The 20705-nt window shown below is 41.9% G+C and overlaps 1 long non-coding RNA gene and 1 pseudogene across 1 annotated transcript in view, besides 2 other annotated features; one reads left to right on the top strand and one right to left on the bottom strand.

Annotated features, from left to right (window-relative positions):
• The window catches only part of LINC00529 (long intergenic non-protein coding RNA 529), a 36768-nt gene extending 20195 nt beyond the window's left edge, over nucleotides 1-16573 (top strand). The window contains exon 5 of the long non-coding RNA NR_170283.1: nucleotides 16048-16573. This is a non-coding gene — a long non-coding RNA (long intergenic non-protein coding RNA 529). The remainder of the gene's footprint in view (nucleotides 1-16047) is intronic.
• Nucleotides 1523-1817: an enhancer, noted in NCBI's record as "tiled region #9232; K562 Activating non-DNase unmatched - State 3:PromF, and HepG2 Activating non-DNase unmatched - State 22:ReprW". NCBI's record gives its function as "activates a minimal TATA promoter and a strong SV40 promoter by Sharpr-MPRA in K562 cells, with weaker activation in HepG2 cells {active_cell/tissue: HepG2 | K562}" and the evidence as "EXISTENCE:reporter gene assay evidence [ECO:0000049][PMID:27701403]".
• Nucleotides 7159-7847, bottom strand: RPL19P13 (ribosomal protein L19 pseudogene 13; annotated as a pseudogene).
• Nucleotides 12532-12681: an enhancer, noted in NCBI's record as "active region_27002". NCBI's record gives its function as "activates an Ori minimal core promoter by ATAC-STARR-seq in GM12878 lymphoblastoid cells {active_cell/tissue: GM12878}" and the evidence as "EXISTENCE:reporter gene assay evidence [ECO:0000049][PMID:35858748]".
• Nucleotides 16574-20705: the final 4132 nt, after the last annotated feature.

Here is a 20705-nt window from a genome sequence, read left to right as displayed (position 1 = left end):
TACTCCTAAATAGCCAGTAGGTCAAAAGAAAAATCAAACTGAAAATTAGAAAATACTTTGAACTGAATTAAAATGGAAACCGCAACATTCCAAAACTTATGGAATTCAGCTGAAGAACTGCCTAGGAAAAATTATAGCAGTAAATGCCTATATTAAAAAAGAAAAAAAACTCAGAACAATTACTTCCATCTTAAGACACTGGAAAGAGAAGACCAAACTAAACCTAATTCAAAAAAGAAAGGAAATAGTAAATATTAGAATGGAAATTAATGAAATAGAGAATACAAAATGGTAAAGAAAAATCAGTGAATCCAAAAGCTGGTTCTTTGGAAAGGTAAACAAAAATAACAGAATTCAACCAAGACATAAGAAAGAAGACTTAAATTATTAGAATTATAGAAACGATATCAGTTTTTCACAAACTTTTCCAAAAAACGGGAGAGAAGGGATGCTTCTCAGCTCATTCTATGATGTCAGTATTACCCTGATTCCAAAACCAAAGACATCACAAAAAAAGAAAACTACAGATCACTATCTCTTATTACTATGGATACAAAAATCCTCCACAAAATCGTGGCAAATCAAATCCAGTGACATATAAAAAGAATCATACACTATGACCAAGTGGGATTTATTCCAGGAAGGCAAGGTTAGCTTAACACCTGTAAATTAATTATTGTAACAGACCCTATCAATAGAATAAAAACCGAAAGCCACATGCTCATATTAATAGATGCAGAAAAAGCACTTGACAAAACCTAACACTCGTTTTTTGATTAAAAACCACAAGAAGATACCTCTTAGCACCTACCATGATGGCTATAATCAAAAAGATAATAAACTTTGGTGAGGATATGGAGAAATTAGAACCCTCATACATTTCTGGTGAGAATGTAGAAACGATGCAGTCACTTTGGAAAACAGTGTGGCAGTTTCTCAAAAAAGCTAAACATAGAGTAACCATTTGAGCAGCAATTCCACTAGTAGGTATACACCCAAGAGAAATGAAAACGTATGTCCATATGAAAACTTGTACATGAATATTTATAGCAGCATTAGTCATAAAGCAAAAGATGGAAACCCAAATATTTATGAACTGTGAATGGACAAACAAAAGGTGATATATCCATAAAATGAAATATTATTTGGCCACAAAAAGAAATGAAGTCCTGATACACGCTACAACATGAATGAAACTTGAAAATATCATGGGAGGTAAACAGTCACGAAAGACCACCCATGACATGATCCATTTATATGAAATGTCCAGAATAAGCAAAATAAAGGGACAGAAAATAGATTGGTAGTTGCTTAGAGCCAGGAGTATGGGGGAATTGGGGAGTGAAGACTAAAGCAAATGGGAGTCTCTTTTTGAGGTAATGAAAATGTTTACAGTGGATTATGGTGACGGTTGCACAGCTCTGTGAATATACTAAAAACCACTGAATTGTACATTTTACACTGATGAATTGTACAGTATGTAAACTGTACCTCAATAAAACGGCCACAAAAAGAAAAGTAAGGAGGAGTGAAGCAGGATAAGGAAGGTTAGGAGGCCATACTCACTTACTGACTTTTCCCCTGGCGTAAAGCCTAGTGGGCTCCGCATCCCTTGCACCCTCTTACGTCAGCGCCTGACTCTTTTGCAAGATAAACAGTCCTGCAGGACACCAGCCAACTGCCTGATGGTTACAAGTTCCTAATAGCTAGCACAGCCCGGGAAAGAGACTTATTCATAATGTAGCTTCCCCAGTACCTAGCCAATCAGCATCCAAAACCCAAGAAGCTATTAGCTGCAAATTACTGCCTTGGGGCAGGAGGGCTGAGGATTGCTCCAGGGTCCCACCTGTGCAGCTAGGCTCAAGGTTTAGCTCATAGTAACCTTTTCTTCATTTTAATAGTAAAAAAACACACCCCTAGGCGGAGATTTTATATGCTAATGATACATGCATTGCATGTTACAGCATGCAGATGCTGAGCGCATGTGTCAACCGCAGGTCTGTCTTTACGTACTTGACCTCACCAGTATTTTATGAATATATACGAACAATTCCCGCAAAAGGAATTCCTCTGAAGGCACTAGTTGCTGTCTCTCCCTTTAAGCAGCCCACTCAGCCTCTCAGAGGGTACTTTCGCTTTACAATAAGCTTCTTTGGCTACTCTTCCTTTGGAGTCACTCTCAAATTCTTTTGTGTGGTGAGATCAAGAACCTAAACTTACCTACCGACCACGGGAGGAGGAGGCGGCCTTCGTGGTAGCAAATAGCAGCAGCAGCTACTAAAAGCAGTCATACACAGAATCATGGGGTGAATGCCTAAGCGGTGTTTCAGAGAGTATGGTGTAAACCAGCACGGCCCAGTAGGTATTTCCATGATGTCAATATGGTCACCACTAGCTATACGTGGATCTTGAACACCTGAAATGTATCTAGAGAGACTGAGGACATCAATTTGCAAATCTTTTTTATGCGTTTGCATTATGGGTTGTTCTGGTTCTAAGGAAACAAATTTTTTCACCAAGAAATTCCTGATTTTTACATGTCCATGCATTATAAGAAAGAGTCTTAAGCTAACTCGACTAGACTAGTTCACTAGTTAACCCAGACTTGCCATCGCTTTCACAGACAGAACTCGATATGATCAAAATGAGACATTTTCAAGAGGCTCTTGAATCTGAGGATGTAAAAAAGCCCAATGTCCAATGGTTGCCTACGTCACATCAGGAACCACTGTTCCACCTGCATTGATTCCCATGCCCCTTTTCCACGCTGCTAGAAGGAAATTCACCCCACCCACTACTGCAATCAGGACAGGAAGTCCGACTGATCCAACAACACCCTTTCTCAAATAACTCTTTCGGAGATAGGTCTCTGTTGTCAAATGTCACTTCCCCACCTTTAGGAAGAGAACAAGTAGCAACATACAAATACTGGTTATAAGCAAGTTGATAGCTATTTTTAAACTAATTAAGAGCCCTTCAATTTCAAAAATAAAAAGTGTTCGTAGTAATTTGTGAAACCTTTAACACTAGCCAATCCATGCGATACCAGATGTGTGAACTGATTACATCCCTACCACAGCTAACAAAATGGTGCAGAAATGAAAATGGGAATAGTTGGGATAGTCTGTCTCCCAAGGGAATTAGCAAATACAGTTGGAAAGTCTTGCAAATTCAATACAGCTCCTATTTTGATGGTTTCTAGAAGTTAAAAAGAACATTAATGAATAAGATAAAGAATCTCAGACCCCCCAAAGCGCAAAAAAGTTTAAGAAATTATGCCAAAACACAAAATGCTTTAGACACGTGGCCCTTTAGGAAAACCTTTCCACCTGACAGAAATAAAGTGTGAAATTTGCCTAAATGCACCTAGCTGAAAAGCTATATATTGTAATGACACGTATGGATATTTTAAAGGGTTTAAAGAAATCTGTCTTCTGGAAACTGAAACATCCAATAGTTTCCTTCTTGGAAAAGGAGATTTTCAAATGAGAACAGATTTTTTCAAATTAATTTAATTATTAAGACATTCATCAAAAGTATATATCTTTCAAAACAATGTGAATATACTTAACATCTATAACTATAAACTTCATAATGGTTAAGATGATAAAAATAAAGGTATATATTACCCTAATTAGCATAAAATTAAAAAAATTTAAACTATGTATAAACAATTAAGTCATTAATAGAACTGTGAAAAGTGTTCCTGTTTTCTAATATTAAATTACATCTCTCTCTAAAAAGCTTTTGGATCAGAAAAAGGAAAAATGCAAATGTTAGTTTAATAACATGGACTTCCTACTGTTGAATTACAAGAGAAGAAAGAGGTGTAAATAATCATTAAGCCACCAATTAGTAGTCAGATGACGGCTTCACAAAACACCCTTCCGTGTTAGAAATTTAGGTAAAATGTAAAGGAATTCAGTATTACTTACTAAAAATAAATACAGAAGAATTATATAAAAATCCATCATGCATACTTAATGAATTATAGATCTTGGCAAAATAGATAGCTACATATTTTCTCTTTGATTTTATCACGGTGTAAGAACATAGTATAAATGTAACTCTTTATGCATAATTTTGGAATTATCATCTTATCTCAAGCTTAACTAAATAGAATATCCTAAGGTCCTTCTACTTGTCAGGTAGGTTATCAGTGCTAACACCATATATTTAAGACTAGAAATGTAAACGTATGTATTTATTTAATGAAAGCTGTAACAATTGATGTCTTCATATAAAACACTGCTAGTTAGGTGAGCCTATAGAATCACTTCACCTTTACTGTGGGAGTTTTAAAGAGTTTTATTTCTAATAATTACAGTGATTATATTTTCTTTAATGTCAAATTAAAATAGATGTTCTAAGATGCCTAACTGACTTGAGACCTTTAGCTGATTATCAGCTGAAGTAATTAGAGAATAGTCTTTATGTATCTGGAAATTTTCCAAGGAAAATATTTTAAATTATAAACAAAGAGAAAGAAAGTACATGCTCGTGGTTTTGGCTTATGTCTTTTTGCCCATAGAAACATATATATATATTTATAACACTCAAATGAAGATAGTACAAATAGACCTAATATACTTGATAAGATTAGTTCTGTTTAGAAAATTCAAATTTCAAAGGGCTGAGTAGTGTTGTCATTTTAACATTGTTTGGTGTGACACATGCCTACACGTACAGGTTTAAATGCACTTAAATGTGTCTCTTCCCCTAAGCAGAGTCTGGGGTGAAGACTTGCATTCAGGACTTTTTCTGGGAAGTCGTCCTAGGGAGCAGGAGTGAGGGGTAGGAGGAGTGACTCAGAGGAAGGTAGAAAGCCAGCCCACGGCGGGGGGTCATCAAGGCAGTCACAGCCAGTGCAGTTGCTGCTCAAACTTTCAGGACCTTTGGAAGAGATTCCTGAAATGCATTGCAGATGGCAGGGGAGGCATTTCCGATCCACTTCACCCCAGTCACTCAGGGGTAACCGCAGTGGCCATCCTGGGCAAGGCATCAAGCAGTCTAAGGGTGCAGGACGTGGGGGTAGCCCATCAGAGCCTGCTGGCAGGCGTGGCCACTGAAGAGGCTCAGACCCTGCGCTGGCACTAGCTAGCAATGTATGGTGGCGCCACCAGGACCCTGACACAGGTGTGTGGTATGAATGAAGGAGAAGGAATGGGCACAGCCATGCCCACTGTGTCTGGGCCAGCATCTTACATGATTCTCCTCCGTGAGGCATGATTTGTAATTTTTTAGGGCAATTTTGGGCTTAGAGAAGAATTGATTGGAAAGTATAGAATTCCCACATATCTCTCCCTGCCCAGGCTCCCCCCTCACATTTCCCTATTATTTACATCTTGTATTAGTGTGGTACGTTTGTTATAACTGACAAACCAATTCTGATACGATCTAGCGTTCTATACGAATGATGATAGTTAACAATAATATATTGTTTCAAATAGCTGAGGGAAAATATTGAACATTCCCAATGCAAAGAAGTGATGAAATGTTTCAGATGATGGATGCACTAATTACCGTGACCTGATGTCTACACGTTGTATTTATGAGAACATCACTACATACTCCATAAATTATTTGTCATATTTGTGTAATTATTATTTATCAATTGAAAAAATAGAATTAAAATATATTTCAAAAAGATTTTCACCAACACTATCAAGAAAAAAATTTACAAATTTAAAATTTAAAAAGTTACCAATAAATAAAATAAAAATACCAAAAAAAGATACAGAATTATTATTAACTAAAGCCTGTAGTTTATATTAGGCTTCACTCTTTGAGTTGTACATTTGCTGGGTTTTGACAAATATATTATGTGTATCCATTATTATTGTAACATAGGAAATAGTTTCACTGCCCTAAAAGTTCCCTTCCTCTGGATTTTAGTTTACTTTCTGATGCTGTTTCCAAGATCTAGCCCCAAATTCACAACCTGACAGATTTTTTTGAATCTCCACCATGTTTGATTTTTCTAAAACAGCCCCTTGGTGGTGCCTAGACCAATGCACGTGCCCGTTGCTGGGGAGACATACACACGCTAGAAAGACAAGAATCAGGTCTGGCGCAGTGGCTCACACCTGTAATTCCAGCACTTTGGGAGGCCGAGGTGGGCAGATCACATGAGGCCAAGAGTTTTAGACCAGGCTGGCCAACATGGCAGTATCCTGTCTCTACTAAAAATACAAAAATTAGCCAGGCATGGTGGTGCACGTCTGCAATCCCAGCACTTTGAGAGGCCAAGAAGGGCAAATCGCATGAGGTCAAGAGTTCAGGACTAGCCTGGTCAACATGGCAACACCCTGTCTCTACCAAAAATACAAAAATTAGCTAGGAGTGGCGGTGCATGTCTGTAATCCCACCTATTCAGGAGGCTGAGGCACAAGAAATGTTTGAACGAAGAGGCAGAGGTTTCAGTGAGCTGAGATGGCACCACTGCACTCCAGCCTGGGTGACAGAGTGAGGCTCTGTCTCAAAAAAATAAAATAAAAACAAAAATAAAAAAAAGACAAGAATCAGCACCTGGGTACAAAAACACTGGAGATAAATTTTATTTCATGTTTATTTATATAACTAATTGTGTCACCTGCAAGCAGCATAACCCTGGAATATCTGTAAAGGTGTGGCAAAGGCATCAGGGAGCGTGCCGGGTCCAGATGACTTGGATTTCAGACACTTAACGAATATGTCCTACTGTGTTTTCAGAGTGGTGGAGCCCTCTTTTGTTGCAAAGCATCTCTTTATCTTTTTGCAAAGACATTCATACAGCTTTTCCTTGGTTCCCACCTGGAGAATGCCTTCAACCCGTGCCAAGCTCTTGTGGCTATCAGGGGCTACTGAGTCACTGAAAAATGTTACTATCTGTATCTATGTCTGCATTTCCCAAACCTGGAAAATGTAAAATAGATGGACAGAACTGTCAAAACCAAACTGTCTAATCTAGTGGGTGGAATTGGAATGTCTTGGTCCTTTCACTCATCTTTCATACTCATCAAAATTCATTCCCCTGTGCAAGAAAAGCACTGAATCCTTATGAAACAGCTCCTGGCAGGCCTGTGCATCTCAACGCCATATCCCCATGAAGGGACTCCACTTGGCGTGACCATACGTCCTAGTTTTCTCAGGGCAGTCCTGTTTTTTTTTCTTTTTTTTTTAAGGCTTGTTTTATTTTAATGGCAGATCTATGTAATCACAGTGGCCAGGATGTGCAGAAAAAGGGGAAGCTTTTTTTCTTGTCTCTTCTTCCTTGGACAAAGTCTTGATGATCTCCTTCTTTTTGGCCTGGAGGCGCTCTTCACGGAGCTTGCTTGCTTTATTGGTCTTAGAGCTGCGGGCTTCAGCCTGGTCAGCCAGGAACTTCTTGTGGGCCTTGTCTGCCTTCAGCTTGTGGTTGTGTTCCATGAGAATCTGCTTGTTTGTGAACATATTCCCCTGCACCTTCAGGTACAGGCTGTGATACATGTGGTGATCAGTCTTCTTAGATTCATGGTATCTTCCAAACAACCAGTGCAAAATCCTCATTCTCCTCATCCAAGTGACCTTCTCTGGCATTTGGAAATTGGCTGTACCCTTGCGCTAACCTGTGCCCATGTGCCTGCCCTTCTGGTGGGCTAAGGTGCTTTTCTGGCATCCAGCCTGGGAATGGACAGTCACAGGCTTGTGGATGATCAGCCCAACTTTGATCAGCTTCCGGATCTGCTGATGGGAGTTGGCGTTGACGATTTCACTGGTCTCACTGGGGTCCAGCCAGACCTTCTTGCTACCGTGGAGGCACTCGTGGCGAGCCTCTTCCGAAGCCTGAATATCCTCATGGCTTCGGCCACAGCAGTGACAAAGGACAGTGTTGGTTTACGCTTGTGGTCCCAGTGCAGCTATTCATACTCACCCTCTCCCGCTTCCCTCACTCTCTAAGGTATTCCAATTGGGTGATAAATTATATGGTCACTCTAAGTTGTCACATTCTGATATTTCCACTTTTGTAAAAAAAAAAAATCCAGACTGCATTGTCCAGTGTTTGCATCAGCATGTCATCACTTGCTTGTACCTGACTCCACTGAAAGCTGGAGCCATGAAGGACAAACCCCTGATGAGGAAAACCAGCATTCAAATCCCAGGGGAAGGACTCTTGTTCTGTGTCCTCTTCATCAGCCACTGCAGCGACTCCACTGTAGAACCTGGGGTGCCCCAATTTATATGAAATAATTTGTATTTGGGGATCCAAATTAATTTTGTATCCCAAAAGGAACACTTCTGAAAGGTACCACCTACAGAGTTTTTCGTTTGTTTGTTTTTTCTTTTTGTTTTTTTTTGTTTTTTTTGGGAGTCAAGTTCTCTCTCTGTCACCCAGGCTGGAGTGCAATAGTGAGACCACAGCTCACTACAGCCTCCAATTCCTAGGCTCACGTGATCCTCCAGCCTCAGCCTCCTGAGTAGCTTGGATTACAGGCATCCACAGATATGCCCAGCTAATTTTTAATTTTTTTATAGGAATGGAGTCTTGCTATGGTGCTCAGGCTGGTCTCAAACTCCTGGCCTCAAGTGACCCTCCTGCCTTGGCCTCCCAAGTAGCTGGGACTACAGGCATGAGCCACCACTCCCAGCTTAAAAAACGTTTTTCAAGATGATTTCAGTCATGATGCAAGCATATGATTTACCAAGATCATCCAGAACAGAACTGTTTTAAGTTATAAACAATCTAGCAGAAGAGACACAGAAGTTGTTATTCATTTAGGGCTGTTTCTATTCTAAATATTCTATCTGATTCTACTATCATGATACTCCATCATTTATATTCACTGTTAGTTCTGATCGTATATGTGTTGCCTCAAATTGAGATGCCCATCTATAGATAAACATTTATAAAAAGTGGGCATTAAGTTTCAATGCTACATTTTGTACACGATATTGGGACCCTGGTAAAGTACATTTCATTGGCAATTTCAGCAAAGACTATGGATATATGTTTTTAAAGGATGACTCTTCAAATTTTCTACAGGACACAGTACAAGCCTTTGTGTATAACTACAAAATCAAACAGTTATATTTTACTTTTATGGCACTGGTCTTGGCAGTCATACAACTAGAGACTACTAAGGTTAAGAATTCTGCCTGTGTCCTGCAGCTAATAAAAGGCAGAACCAGGATTTGATTCAGTTCTGTCTGGCTGTCAAATCTACCATCTATGGGCTAAACATTCCTTCTATTCTTTTTTTATAGAGTATGATTTTTAATTTTTAATTGACAATAATTGTACATATTCATGGGGTACATAGTGATGTTTCTATACATGTAATGTATAGTGATCAGGTCAGGGTAATTAGCATATCCATCATCTCAAACATTTATCATTTCTTTGTATTGGGAATGTTCAATACCCTCCTTTGAGCTATTTGAAACTATGTATTGTTGAGGATGTAATTTTGAATGCCTTTACCATCCAGGTCCCTATGGTCAAGATGTACTTGAATAACCTCTGAGTGCTTAAGTGCAAAGCCCAGGACTAACAGGGCTGCCCCATGAGGTGCCTCCTGCAGATCACACCAGCCACCTGCTCCACCCACCCCATGCAGCCTGAGATCACGGGGTGTTTCTGCAGGCCCATCTATCCCACTGTGAGCTTCCCACCATTTTGTAGCTTCCAGGTGTTTGCTAGTTGTGCAGCTGCTGTGAAACAACTTCTTCCTCATCCTGTACTCAGTTGTGCTTTTGACCCAAGTGCAGCCTTAGCACCCGTGCTAAGCTTCATCTTAGTCATTTAGCCCAGCATATCGACTCTCGAGATCTTGTGGGAGCTTCATTCCATCATCAGTCGCCCTCAATTCTACCACCTCTGTCAATTTCACCAACACATCCGTTGCATGGCGTTATCCATTCATTCTTTGTTGGACTCCTCTTTCCTGAATTCTGCTATGGGCCACCACTATTCTAGGCCCCAGGGAACACAGCAGTGAGCAAGGCAAAGGCCCTGACTGCATGGAGCACACACTCCACTGGAGGAGACAAATAATGAACAGATAAATGAGTGGTTAAGATAATCCCAGGCACTGATGAAACTCATGAAGAAAAATAAGGTGTGCTATGGGGTTGAAGGGATGTGCCATTTTAATAGGGTGGCCAAAAGCAGTGAGGATTGAGCAGAGTCCTGAGTTAAATATGGGAATGAGCCGTGCAATGGCCAGGGAGAAGAGCCTGCGAAGGGAACACAGAGTGACTGCAAGGGGCCTGGGGCAGAAACATGCTGGGCCAGTGAGACAGGAGGGGCCGTGTGGCTGGAGTGTGAGGCCTGCTCCACTGAGGAAGGAACTTGGATTGTATTCTGAGTGAGGGCTGAGAGCAGGTATGTCACACAGTCTGACTGATTTTTTGGGGGTATGTGGCAAACACACACATAACATAATATTTGCCATTTTATCCATTTTTTCAGTGTACGTGGCTTTAAGTACAACCACACTGCTGTGCAGCCCCCACTGCCATCATCTCCAGAACTTTTTCATCTTCCCAAACTAAAACTCTGTTTTCATTAAACGCCAACTCCCACTCACCTCTCCCCAGTCCTTGGCCACCCCTGTTCTACTTACTGTCTCTATGGATTTGACTACTCTGGTGCTGAGTATTAGTGGAATTATACAGTGTTGTCCTTTGGTGTGTGGCTTATTCCACTTAACATAATGTCCTTGAGATTTATACATGTTGTAGCTTTGGTCAGGATTTCCTTCCCTTTTAAGGCTGAATAATGCTCCTTGCATGGACGGACCAGATTTTGTACATCCATTCATCCATTGATGGACACCTGGGTTGATTCCACCTTTTGGCTATTATGGATAATGCTGCTGTGAACACGGGTATGCAAATGTCTCTTCGAGACTCTGCTTTCAGTTCTTTGGGGCATCTCCCCAGTAGTGGAATTGTTGGATTATGTGGTAATTCTATGTTTAATTTTTTGAGGAACCACCGTACTGCTTTTAAGAGCAGCTTAATCATTCTGCATTCCCACTAACAGTGCATGAGGGTTCCAATTTCTCCACGTGCTCAACAATGCACAGTATTTCTGTTTTTGGGGTAGTAGGCATCCTAATGATATGTGAGGGTGTGAGGTGATATCTGATTTTGATGTGCATTTCCATAATGATTAGTCGTATTAAGCATCTGTTAATATACTTGTCGGTCATTTGAATGTCTTCTTTGGAGAAATGTCTATTCAAGTCCTTTGTCCATTTTTTAAAAGGAATTGTTGGTTTTGCATTTTTGAGTTGTAATATTCTTTATACACACTAAATATTAACTCCTTATCAGATATATGATTTGCAAATATGTTCTCCCATCCCATGAGTTGACTTGTGGAGTTTGGTCTGTTGATTGTGTACTTTGATGCAGAAAAGTTTTACATTTTGATGGAGTAAAATTTACTCATTTGGTCTTGTGTTGCTTGACTTTCAGTGTGATCAACCAGAAGTCATTGCCCAGCAATATCATAAAGACATTATTTTGCTGTATGTTTTCTTAAAAAAATTTCATCATTTTAGGTCTTATATTTTGGTCTTTGATCTGTTTTGAATTAATTTTTGTGTGCGGTATAAGATAACAGTTCAACTTCATTCTTTTCTATGTGGATATCCGGTTTTCCCAGCACCATTTCTTGAAAAGACCATGCTTTCCCCCACTGAATGGTCTTGGCACCCTGGTCAAATAGTATTTGACCATCTACACAAGTGTTCATTTCTGGGCTCTCTATTGCATTCCATTGGTCTATATGTCTGTCTTTATGCCAGTACCACATTGTTTTGATTGCTGTGGCTTTGTAGTAAGCTTTGAAATGAGGAAATGTGAGACCTCCAACTTTGTTCCTCTTTTTTGAGTTTGTTTTGGCTGTTTAGGGTTCATTGAGATTCTATATGCATTTTAGAATAGATTTTTTTATTTCTGACAAAAACAATGTTGGAATTTTGGTAGAGATTGCATTAAGTCTATAGATTGTTGTGGGTAGTATGACATCTTATCAATATTACGTCTTCCAATCCATGAACACAGGATGTCTTTGCACTTTTTGTGTGTGTGTCTTTTTATGCCTTTCAGCAATATTTTGTAGGTTTTAGTGTACAAGCCTTTTGCCTCCTAGATTTTATTCCTAAATATTCTTTTCTTTTTGATACTATTACAAATAGGATTGTTGTCTTAATTTCCTTTTTGGATTGTTCATTGTTGGTGTATAGAAATGCACTGATTTTTGTGTGATGATTTTGTACCTTGCAATTTGCTAAATGCATTTACTAGTTCTAACAGGTTTTTTTGCTGTTGTTGAATCTTTAGGGTTTTCTACATATAAGATCATATCACCTGTAAACAGGGATAAACTTACTTCCCTTTCTTTTTCTGAGACAGAGTCTCACTCTGTCGCCCAGGCTGGAGTGCAGTAGCATGATCTCCGCTCACTGCAAGCTCTGCCTCCCGGGTTCACGCCATTCTCCCGCCTCAGCCTTCCCAGTTGCTGGGACTACAGGCGCCTGCCACCACGCCAGGCTAATTTTTTGTATTTTTAGTAGACACGGGGTTTCACCACGTTAGCCAGAATGGTTCGATTTCCTGACCTCGTGATTCGCCTGCCTCGGCCTCCGAAAGTGTTGGTATTACAGGCGTGAGCCCGGCCACTTCCCTTTTTTTTCATTTGGCTTTTTTTTTTTTTTTTTTTTTGCGTAATTGCTATGGCTACAATTTCCAGTACTGTATTGAACAGAAGTGGCAAGAGTGGGCATCCTTGTCTCATTCCTGATCTTACAGAATCTGGTTGACAGTTTAGAGGCTGTTTCTGGCTGCCTGTGGAGAATAGTCTGGGAGGTAGCAGGGTTGAGGGGCCTGTACAGGTGAGGGACAATAGGGCTTGGGCTACGGTGGTGGAGTGAGCAGAGGTCAGTGGTGGAGTTTATTTTGGGTAAAATAAGGTGTGCTGATTAAACAGATGTAGAGTTTTAAAGTTCTTTCTCTTCTAGGTTGGCTTTCAAGCTTACATTGGTCAACTGGGGAAAAATTCTCTTCTTATTAAGTCCTCTCATAGTGAAGCTGCTCTTCCTCAGGGCTATTCATTTTAATGGCTGAAAATAGGACCAACGTGCCAACATAAATAAATAAGTATCTGTTTATGGGGGAGGGGGTATGCCATCTTCCTAGCACCCCTTCCTTGAACACAGGTGCTAAGTAAGGGTCCAGCTCAGTCTCCCATTCTGTGTTTGATAGAAGCTGATGGAGGTGTGGAGGAGGAAGTTTTCCTGCCTTAGCAGCGCTGGCCCAATGGCAGAAGAGGGGCTTTCTTAGCAGTGACAGGGAGCACAGGCTGTTCCAGCACAGACTACATCCCCCCAGCTATGTGCAGCTGAGCAAGAACATCCCAGGTGGGCCTAGCCTGTTATCTGCTGGCCAAAGGGCAGAGTTCACTTCTCTAGTCACAGGCAAGCTGGAACCCACAGGCTGCACTCGGGACTGAGGGGAGAGGACCAGAGCTGCTTTTGGATGTGGATGGGACCAAGGACAGGGTCACTGCTCTAATCTAAGAGGAGGTGCAGGCTAACCATCCTGGGATCCAAGCGGTCTCAACACAGAGCCCCCTTGGCCTTTACAAGGAAGAAACTGCAATTTGCTTTAACTTTCTAAGCTACCGTTTCTACATCTTCTAGATAGGCTCAACAGCAGAAGAGACAACACAGCACAGTTCTGTGAGGTGTGCCTGAGGCCGCACAGTGGTTGAGGCCATGACTTCTGCAGCCTGACCACCTGGCTTTGAATCATAGCTCTGCCACCAACCAGCTGTGATCAGGGGAAGTTATTGAATCTCACGATGCCTCCATTCCCTCATCTGAAAAATGGGGATGGTGATAATAATACTATCTGCTTTATACTTAAGATTTGGGAAAGAAGAAGAAGAGAAGATTGGGAGTAATTGTTTAATGGGTACAGAGATTTAGTTTTGTAAGATGAAGAGTTCTGGAGATGGGTGGTGGCGACGGTTGTACAACAGTGGGAATGTGCTGAAGACCATGACATTGTACACTGAGAAATGGTTAAGATGGTAAATGTCACTTTATGTGTAGTTTACCACAATTTTAATTTGAAAACTTAGAACTTAAAAAAGGAGGCCAGGCGTGGTGACTCACACCTGTAATCCCAGTGCTTTAGGGGGCTGAGGCGGGTGGATCACAAGGTCAGGAGATCGGGACCATTCTGGCTAACACGGTGAAACCCCGTCTCTACTAAAAATACAAAAATTAGCCAGGCGTGGTGGCGGGCACCTATAGTCCCAGCTACTTGGGAGGCTGAGGCAGAAGAATGGCATGGACCCGGGAGACAGAGCTTGCAGTGAGCCGAGATGGCGCCACTGGACTCCAGCCTGGACGACAGAGCAAGACTCTGTCTCTCCAAAAAAAAAAAAAAAAAAAAAAAAAGGATTTGGGCGTTGGGGGAAGAATAAGCTTACTTCTTTCTTTCTTTTTTTTCTTTCTTTCTTTCTTTTTTTTTCTTGAGCCAGAGTCTCGCTCTGTTGCCAGGCTGGAGTGCAGTGGTGTGATCTCAGCTCACTGCAACCTCTGACTCTCTGGTTCAAGCGATTCTCCTGCCTCAGCCTCCAGAGTATCCGGGACTACAGGCATGCGCCACCACGCCCAGCTAATTTTTGTATTTTTAGTAGAGATGGGGTTTCACCATCTTGGCCAGGATGGTTCTTGATTTCCTAACCTCGTGCTCCGCCTGCCTCAGCCTCCCAAAATGCTGGGATTACAGGCCTGAGCCACCACGCCCGGCCGATTGAGCTCATTTCTATACATGCCTGGAAGAATGCCTGGTGCTCCAAGATACAAAGAGGGCTGGCTCCTTGTATCATTAGCTGGGTGATGTTTTTGCAACTTGCTTGAAGTTACTGCAAGAATTAAAAATAAAGCAGACAGAACAGTTTGATTTGGTGTGTACTTCTACTCTTAATAAATGGTATGAATTGTTACTAGCTTGGTAGCTATTGGGGGAATGGAGTTGGCTATGTTTCTAGAAACATGTACTATGGATAGGAAAGAATGTTTTTGCTTTCTTTCATCCCTCTAATTTGGGGATGGGAATGTGAAACACTGCAACAATGCAAAGGAGAAGGGAATAGAAAAGTTGTCCATTTATTTTGCTGGATAATAACTGACCAAGTTCCATGGGAGGGTAGCTCATGCATTCTTGAAGCGTAGGTCTGTGTGTAATAACATGCATATATCATGGTGTGGTCATAGCCAGAACACACTCAAAGCAAGGCTTTCAATGGGGTTTCCCTTGCCTGAGCCTGCCCCTTCATCTAGGATACAGAGATTGAAACTTCCTCCCACTTGTAGACCAAAGTTGGTATTTGTAAAGTGCTCTGAGATCTTCCCAAATAGGGCCTCCTTAAATAAAAGGTCTCCAGGGGTGCAGGAGTGGAAGAGACAGGGCTTGGAGGGCTTAGGAGTCCAGGGGCAGTGTGTATGCTCAGGAGAGCAGCCAATCCCATCTGCCCACAACTAGGATTCTTCTCAGCGCATCACTGGGGGCTCTCCCAGGGCAGTCGGCCTTCCTTTCTTGGATGTGCAAAGCGACTTAGTTGGGATTTAAGACAAAAGTAGACCTAGAACAGTTGACACCTGGAGTGGAGAGTTTTTAACACCCTCCCCATACATCAAAATTATTTTTATAGTGATAATCATGCAATCATTAGCAATCATTATTTTCTTGAGTCAGTCTGTAGTTTCTTCATTTTTAAAAAATTGACCAGTTGAACAATCTCTAGTTTCAAAACACAATTGAAAGAAAGAGTACTTTTTCATTTGAATATTATTCAAATTTAGGAACGCATCACATATGAACTAAATTTGCAGTTTGCCAGTAAAAAATTGACCTCATGATTCTCTGCCTGTTTTGGTTTTAAAGTTTAAATACAAATTTAAAATTTTTTATCACATAAAATGACAAAAGTAAGATAACCCAAGGTCTACTCCTTTCATCATTACAATCACAGTTATTATGGTTTGTTTTGAATTTACTATTTAGATGTAGGGGTTGGAGACAGTTGTCGCTCAAGGTGCAAACTCCGGGCTGGCGCTGTGTGTGAACAGATAACAACAAAATGTATGTGGCTGAGTCCACTAGGAAGACGCTTCTGTACCACATGGAGTTCTCTGAATTAACTTCCAGATATATTAAAATTATTAATGGTAAGTAAGAAATGTATCAAATTGAAGCTTACATACATATTGCTAAGATGCCATCATGTCTGCAGAGATTATTTGGAACTTTGAACAACAAAAGATTTTTTTTTTTTTTTGCAGAACAGTATTTTATCACTGATGTTATTTAGAGTTGCTAGCACTTGGTGATATCACAAGCGAACTGACTTTTAGTCAGCTGTGTTATTGTGTTTAAATTCTCTACAAACATCCCTCATTGCCTGCCTCAGGGGCAGGCGGCCCCTGCAGCTCTGTCTTGTGTATGCAGCTGATTTAAAGCCATGGCAACATCACAGTTAACACTATCTATGCACCTGTAAGAAGTGTTTAATTAAAACTAACAGTCTTGAAGTTGAGCGTCTTTATTTTAGGTGTAGGACCTCTCAGGGGTGAAGAGGAAAGCAAATGGAGAGTCTGCCAAGTCTTTTTGCTGACACCAGTGCTTAGGATCTTGAGAGCATGTTTTACAAATTGGGTGTTTGGGGCAGGGGGAGTCTGGACAACAGTTTTTCCAAGTTTCAGGCTAGTGTTTGGCACCCTCTAGTGGAAAATTTGAAAAGAGAATGATCCGATACTGTATAAAAAATGAATAGTTTATCATATAGCTTATTCATCCTTTATTAAGTACCATGCACTGAGCTAAGTCCTTTGTGTGCAATATCTAATCCTTACAACTACCTATACATTAGGAATATGAGGTCAGCGTTACTAATTATAGAATAAGCTCAGAGAGGTCAAGTAAATTGACCACAGCCACACAGCAAGGGGTGGAGCTGCTTGTCTTTCCTCTCTCCAGAGACATATGGAGTGAGCATACTTGGCATATGTAGCACAATATTTCAAGCTCCTGACCCCCATGGACACACTACCAGCTCCACACCTCAGAGCCTGGGGGCTCGAGGAGTGCCCACCCTGAACCATACTTCCAGAATTATAGTTACTTGCACAATTCTGATTGTAAGATCTAAAAGTAATTTTTTTTTTATTTTTCCCTTAAAGCTTGTGATTTGCCCTCAAAAGTAAATGCCTTGGCTTGGTTTGCCATATTTCCTTCTTAGATTCATGTTCCTTTGTGTCTTATGTTCTGGTCAGGTCACGGCAATGGCCTGCGATAGTAACTCCCAGACTTTAAATCTCATTGGCAATCTCCTTTACCTGTGACACCCCAGAGATCTTAGAATCGAAGTGAGCTCGTTCTGGGAGTGCTTTGGGAGTTATCCAATTTAGTGGTTTGTCATCATGGATCTCTTGAAAATCTTTGAAGGAAGTTTTGGTTGCCATGATGATTGGAGGGCACTAGTGATGTTTAGTCGGGAGGACACTGGATATCCTGCAATGCTCAGGACAGGTCACACAAGGAGAAATTGACCCAGGACTGGTAAGACTTTCCATCATCCTACCGGACATGCTGAGACAGAAGGCAGGCTTCAACTTGTGGTGGGATTTCAAGTTCAGAGACACATTTGCTGTGATGTGTCATTATTACTGCCACATCCCATGTCGTAACAGCAGCCCCTTTGGGGTAAGCAACGTGTGTTCATCCATTCTCACACTGCTATAAAGAACTACCTGAGACTGGTAATTTACGAAGAAAACAGGTTTAATTGACTCACAGTTCTGCAGACTTAACAGGAAGCGTGGGTAGGAGGCCTCAGGAAACTTATAATCATGGTGGAAGGTGAAGGGGAAGCAAACAAGTCTTTTAAACCATCAGATCTTGTGAGAACTCACTATGGTGAGAACAGCAAGGGGGAAACCCACCCCCACGATCCAATCACCTCCCATCAGGTTCCTACCCAAACATGTGGGGATTACAATTTGACATGAGACTTAGTGGGGATACAGAGCCAAACCATATCACAAGGCCCAAGTGTCAAAGCATGAGAATTCAGAAAGTAAAAGACATGGTTAATATACTGCCCAAGTATTCACATACCGAAATACATATTACTGTATTATAACTTACTTTTACTTCAACTTCTGATTGATTTACATTTTTTTCTTTTAATTTTTGAGACAGGGTCTTGTTCTGTCACCCAGGCTGGAGTGCAGTGTTGTAATTTCAGCTTATTGCAGCCTCGACCTCCTGGGTTCAAGTGATCCTCCCACCTCAGCCTCCTGAGTAGCTGGGACTACAGGTATGCATCAGCACACCCAGCTAGCTTTCATATTTTTAGGAGATGGGATTTCGCCATCTTGCCCAGTCTGGTCTCAAACTCCTGGGCTCAAGTGATCCGCCCACCTTGGCCTCCCAAAGTGCTGGGATTATAGGCATGAGCTGCAACATGCCAATGACATAGAGTTTGTGTTCCATGTTTTCGTTCAACTGAGTCAGCACACTCTTCATTCATTCCCTAAATCCTTCTGCCTCTCCATTACCTCTTGTGCTTCTTCATCAGTCAAATAGGGGCGGTGGTTTGTTTTCTGCTTTTTCTATCCGCTGAAGATCCCAACTTCTCCATAAAGGCTTTCCTGATTAACTAGCAGTGAGATCGTCATTCTCTCCCATGTACTTCACCTGGGCCTGTGGATGCCCTCAGCCAGTACTTCTCAAGTTTCCACGGGCTTGAGAATCCACTGGGGACTCTGTGAAGATGCAGGCTTGGTGTGTCTACAAGTCCCCAGGAGGTGCTGAAGCTTCTGGGATGGAGACCATATTCAAAAAGCAAAACTCTCAGATTAAACCGATGGTTCCCAAACCAGGTTTTTCATCACAGGGACCTGGGCAACTTTTGAAAAATACCCTCCCGAGCCCACGCCAGACCCATCCTATCGGAATCTCTGAAAGCAGAGCCCTAGAATGGGATTTCTAGACGCACTCCAGACAATTCTGGAGGCACTCTCCCAAACACCAGCCTCTGACCTAATGCTTAGGTGAACTGCAAGGTGTTACAATAACTTAATTTGAAATTCGCCCCCAGAAGTAAGCACTTTGCAGACTGTTGCTAACCTAGAGTCATTGTGACATGTTTTCATGCTTAGGCCAGACTCCAGGAACTATGCTTTCTCAATTACAGAACCAAGGCAGATGGGCAAATGATCTACAACGATCTTGTGATTTTAATGTCTTATATACGTGTACTTATACATCTCCTAAGATGATCGTAGTAGTTTCCAGAAACCCAAATTAAGACATTTTACTGCAACAAGATTTAAAAACTAGGGCTTTGACGTCTATTTTATGAGAAGTTCATATTTGCATAATTAGGAGTGTCCTACACTTTCTTGGGCAGCACGTGTCAGTCAACAGCTGCAAGTCATTCTGGCTCCTTGCCCAACGGAAGAGAGAGCATTGCTTAAAACAGTCTCTGCCCTACCTCCAGAGAATGTGATAGAAAGCGAGTGACAGACTAAGAGCAGAGGCGAATCCCCAAATTAGATGCCCTTCCAAGCTACAAAAACACTTTAACAACTTTTCCAAAAGATCAGAGCAGAGCATCACAGAGATGAGCTGAGCCACCTGCAGACACAGTTTCTCCAATGTGACCAAGAAACGACATCTGGGTCTTCCTGATGGAAGATGCACACAGGCTGCTGAGAAAACTCTGGAGATGCCTCTGACAGGAACAAGAAGTTCCAGAAGGCAGAGTCTTCCCTCCTCCCCAGGCTGCCTCGTGGGCAGAGATGTGCTGTGTCTTCAGGCCCACATGTTCCCCCAAAGAAATGCTCCCTTTATTTGAGAAGACAAGTGAATGTTGCTCAGGTTGGGGGCAGGGGTTATGGGCTCAGCTTGATCCTAAGTGCCATCAGGCAGGGCCAGGTGTGTTTGGTTCCCCCCATCTCCCCAGCACCCCCTACCATGCCTCACTCACAGCACCCACTCGGGACACTTGCTGACTGACTGACCAGCTATGTAGTGAGATGCTTTTAAACTCTGGAAGTGCCTTAGCTGATATGCTGCCCAGCTACCTTGGATTAACCGAGAGGGCAGAAGGCTGAGTGATGATGTCAGGCAAGGTGTTTGGTTAGTTTTCCACATTCTTCTGGAGTTAGGTCTTCACAGTGAGGTGTAGTTTTTGTGTGATGTCGTATTAAGCAAGCCTTTTTATTCTGAGGCTTGGCCATATTGGGGACTTGTTGATGCTGGAGGGACTGCCCCACCCAGGGTTAGCCAATTCTTAGTGGAAGCAAAGAGCTCTTCTGTGAGCATGCCTTTGACATGCGAACCAAGCCACCCAGACCCCACCTCCCAACCACCTCCTTTGTGGGGCTCCTGCACTCTGGGCCACCATCACTGCAAGGCTACGTTCCAGGCAACTAGGAGCAGCCTTTATGCCCCAGAGCCCACTGAAAGGATTCACACTAGCCAATCCTGAGCCTGCTCACCTGCCTCACCTATTCTTTCCTGCAGAAGTCACAGTAAAGGCTATTACCCACACTTCTCCTCTCTACCTTTGCCTCCTGGTCAACCCCAGTGCTTCTCCATGTGTCCCCCACTCCCACCATCACGTGGTGTGGCATGCCTTGCCCCTTCTCTTGGGA

The sequence above is a fragment of the Homo sapiens genome, chromosome 8, assembly GCF_000001405.40.
Source record: "Homo sapiens chromosome 8, GRCh38.p14 Primary Assembly".
Lineage (NCBI taxonomy): Eukaryota > Metazoa > Chordata > Mammalia > Primates > Hominidae > Homo > Homo sapiens.
Note: the sequence above shows the minus strand (reverse complement) of the source record. Positions and strands in the feature narration are given on the sequence as shown.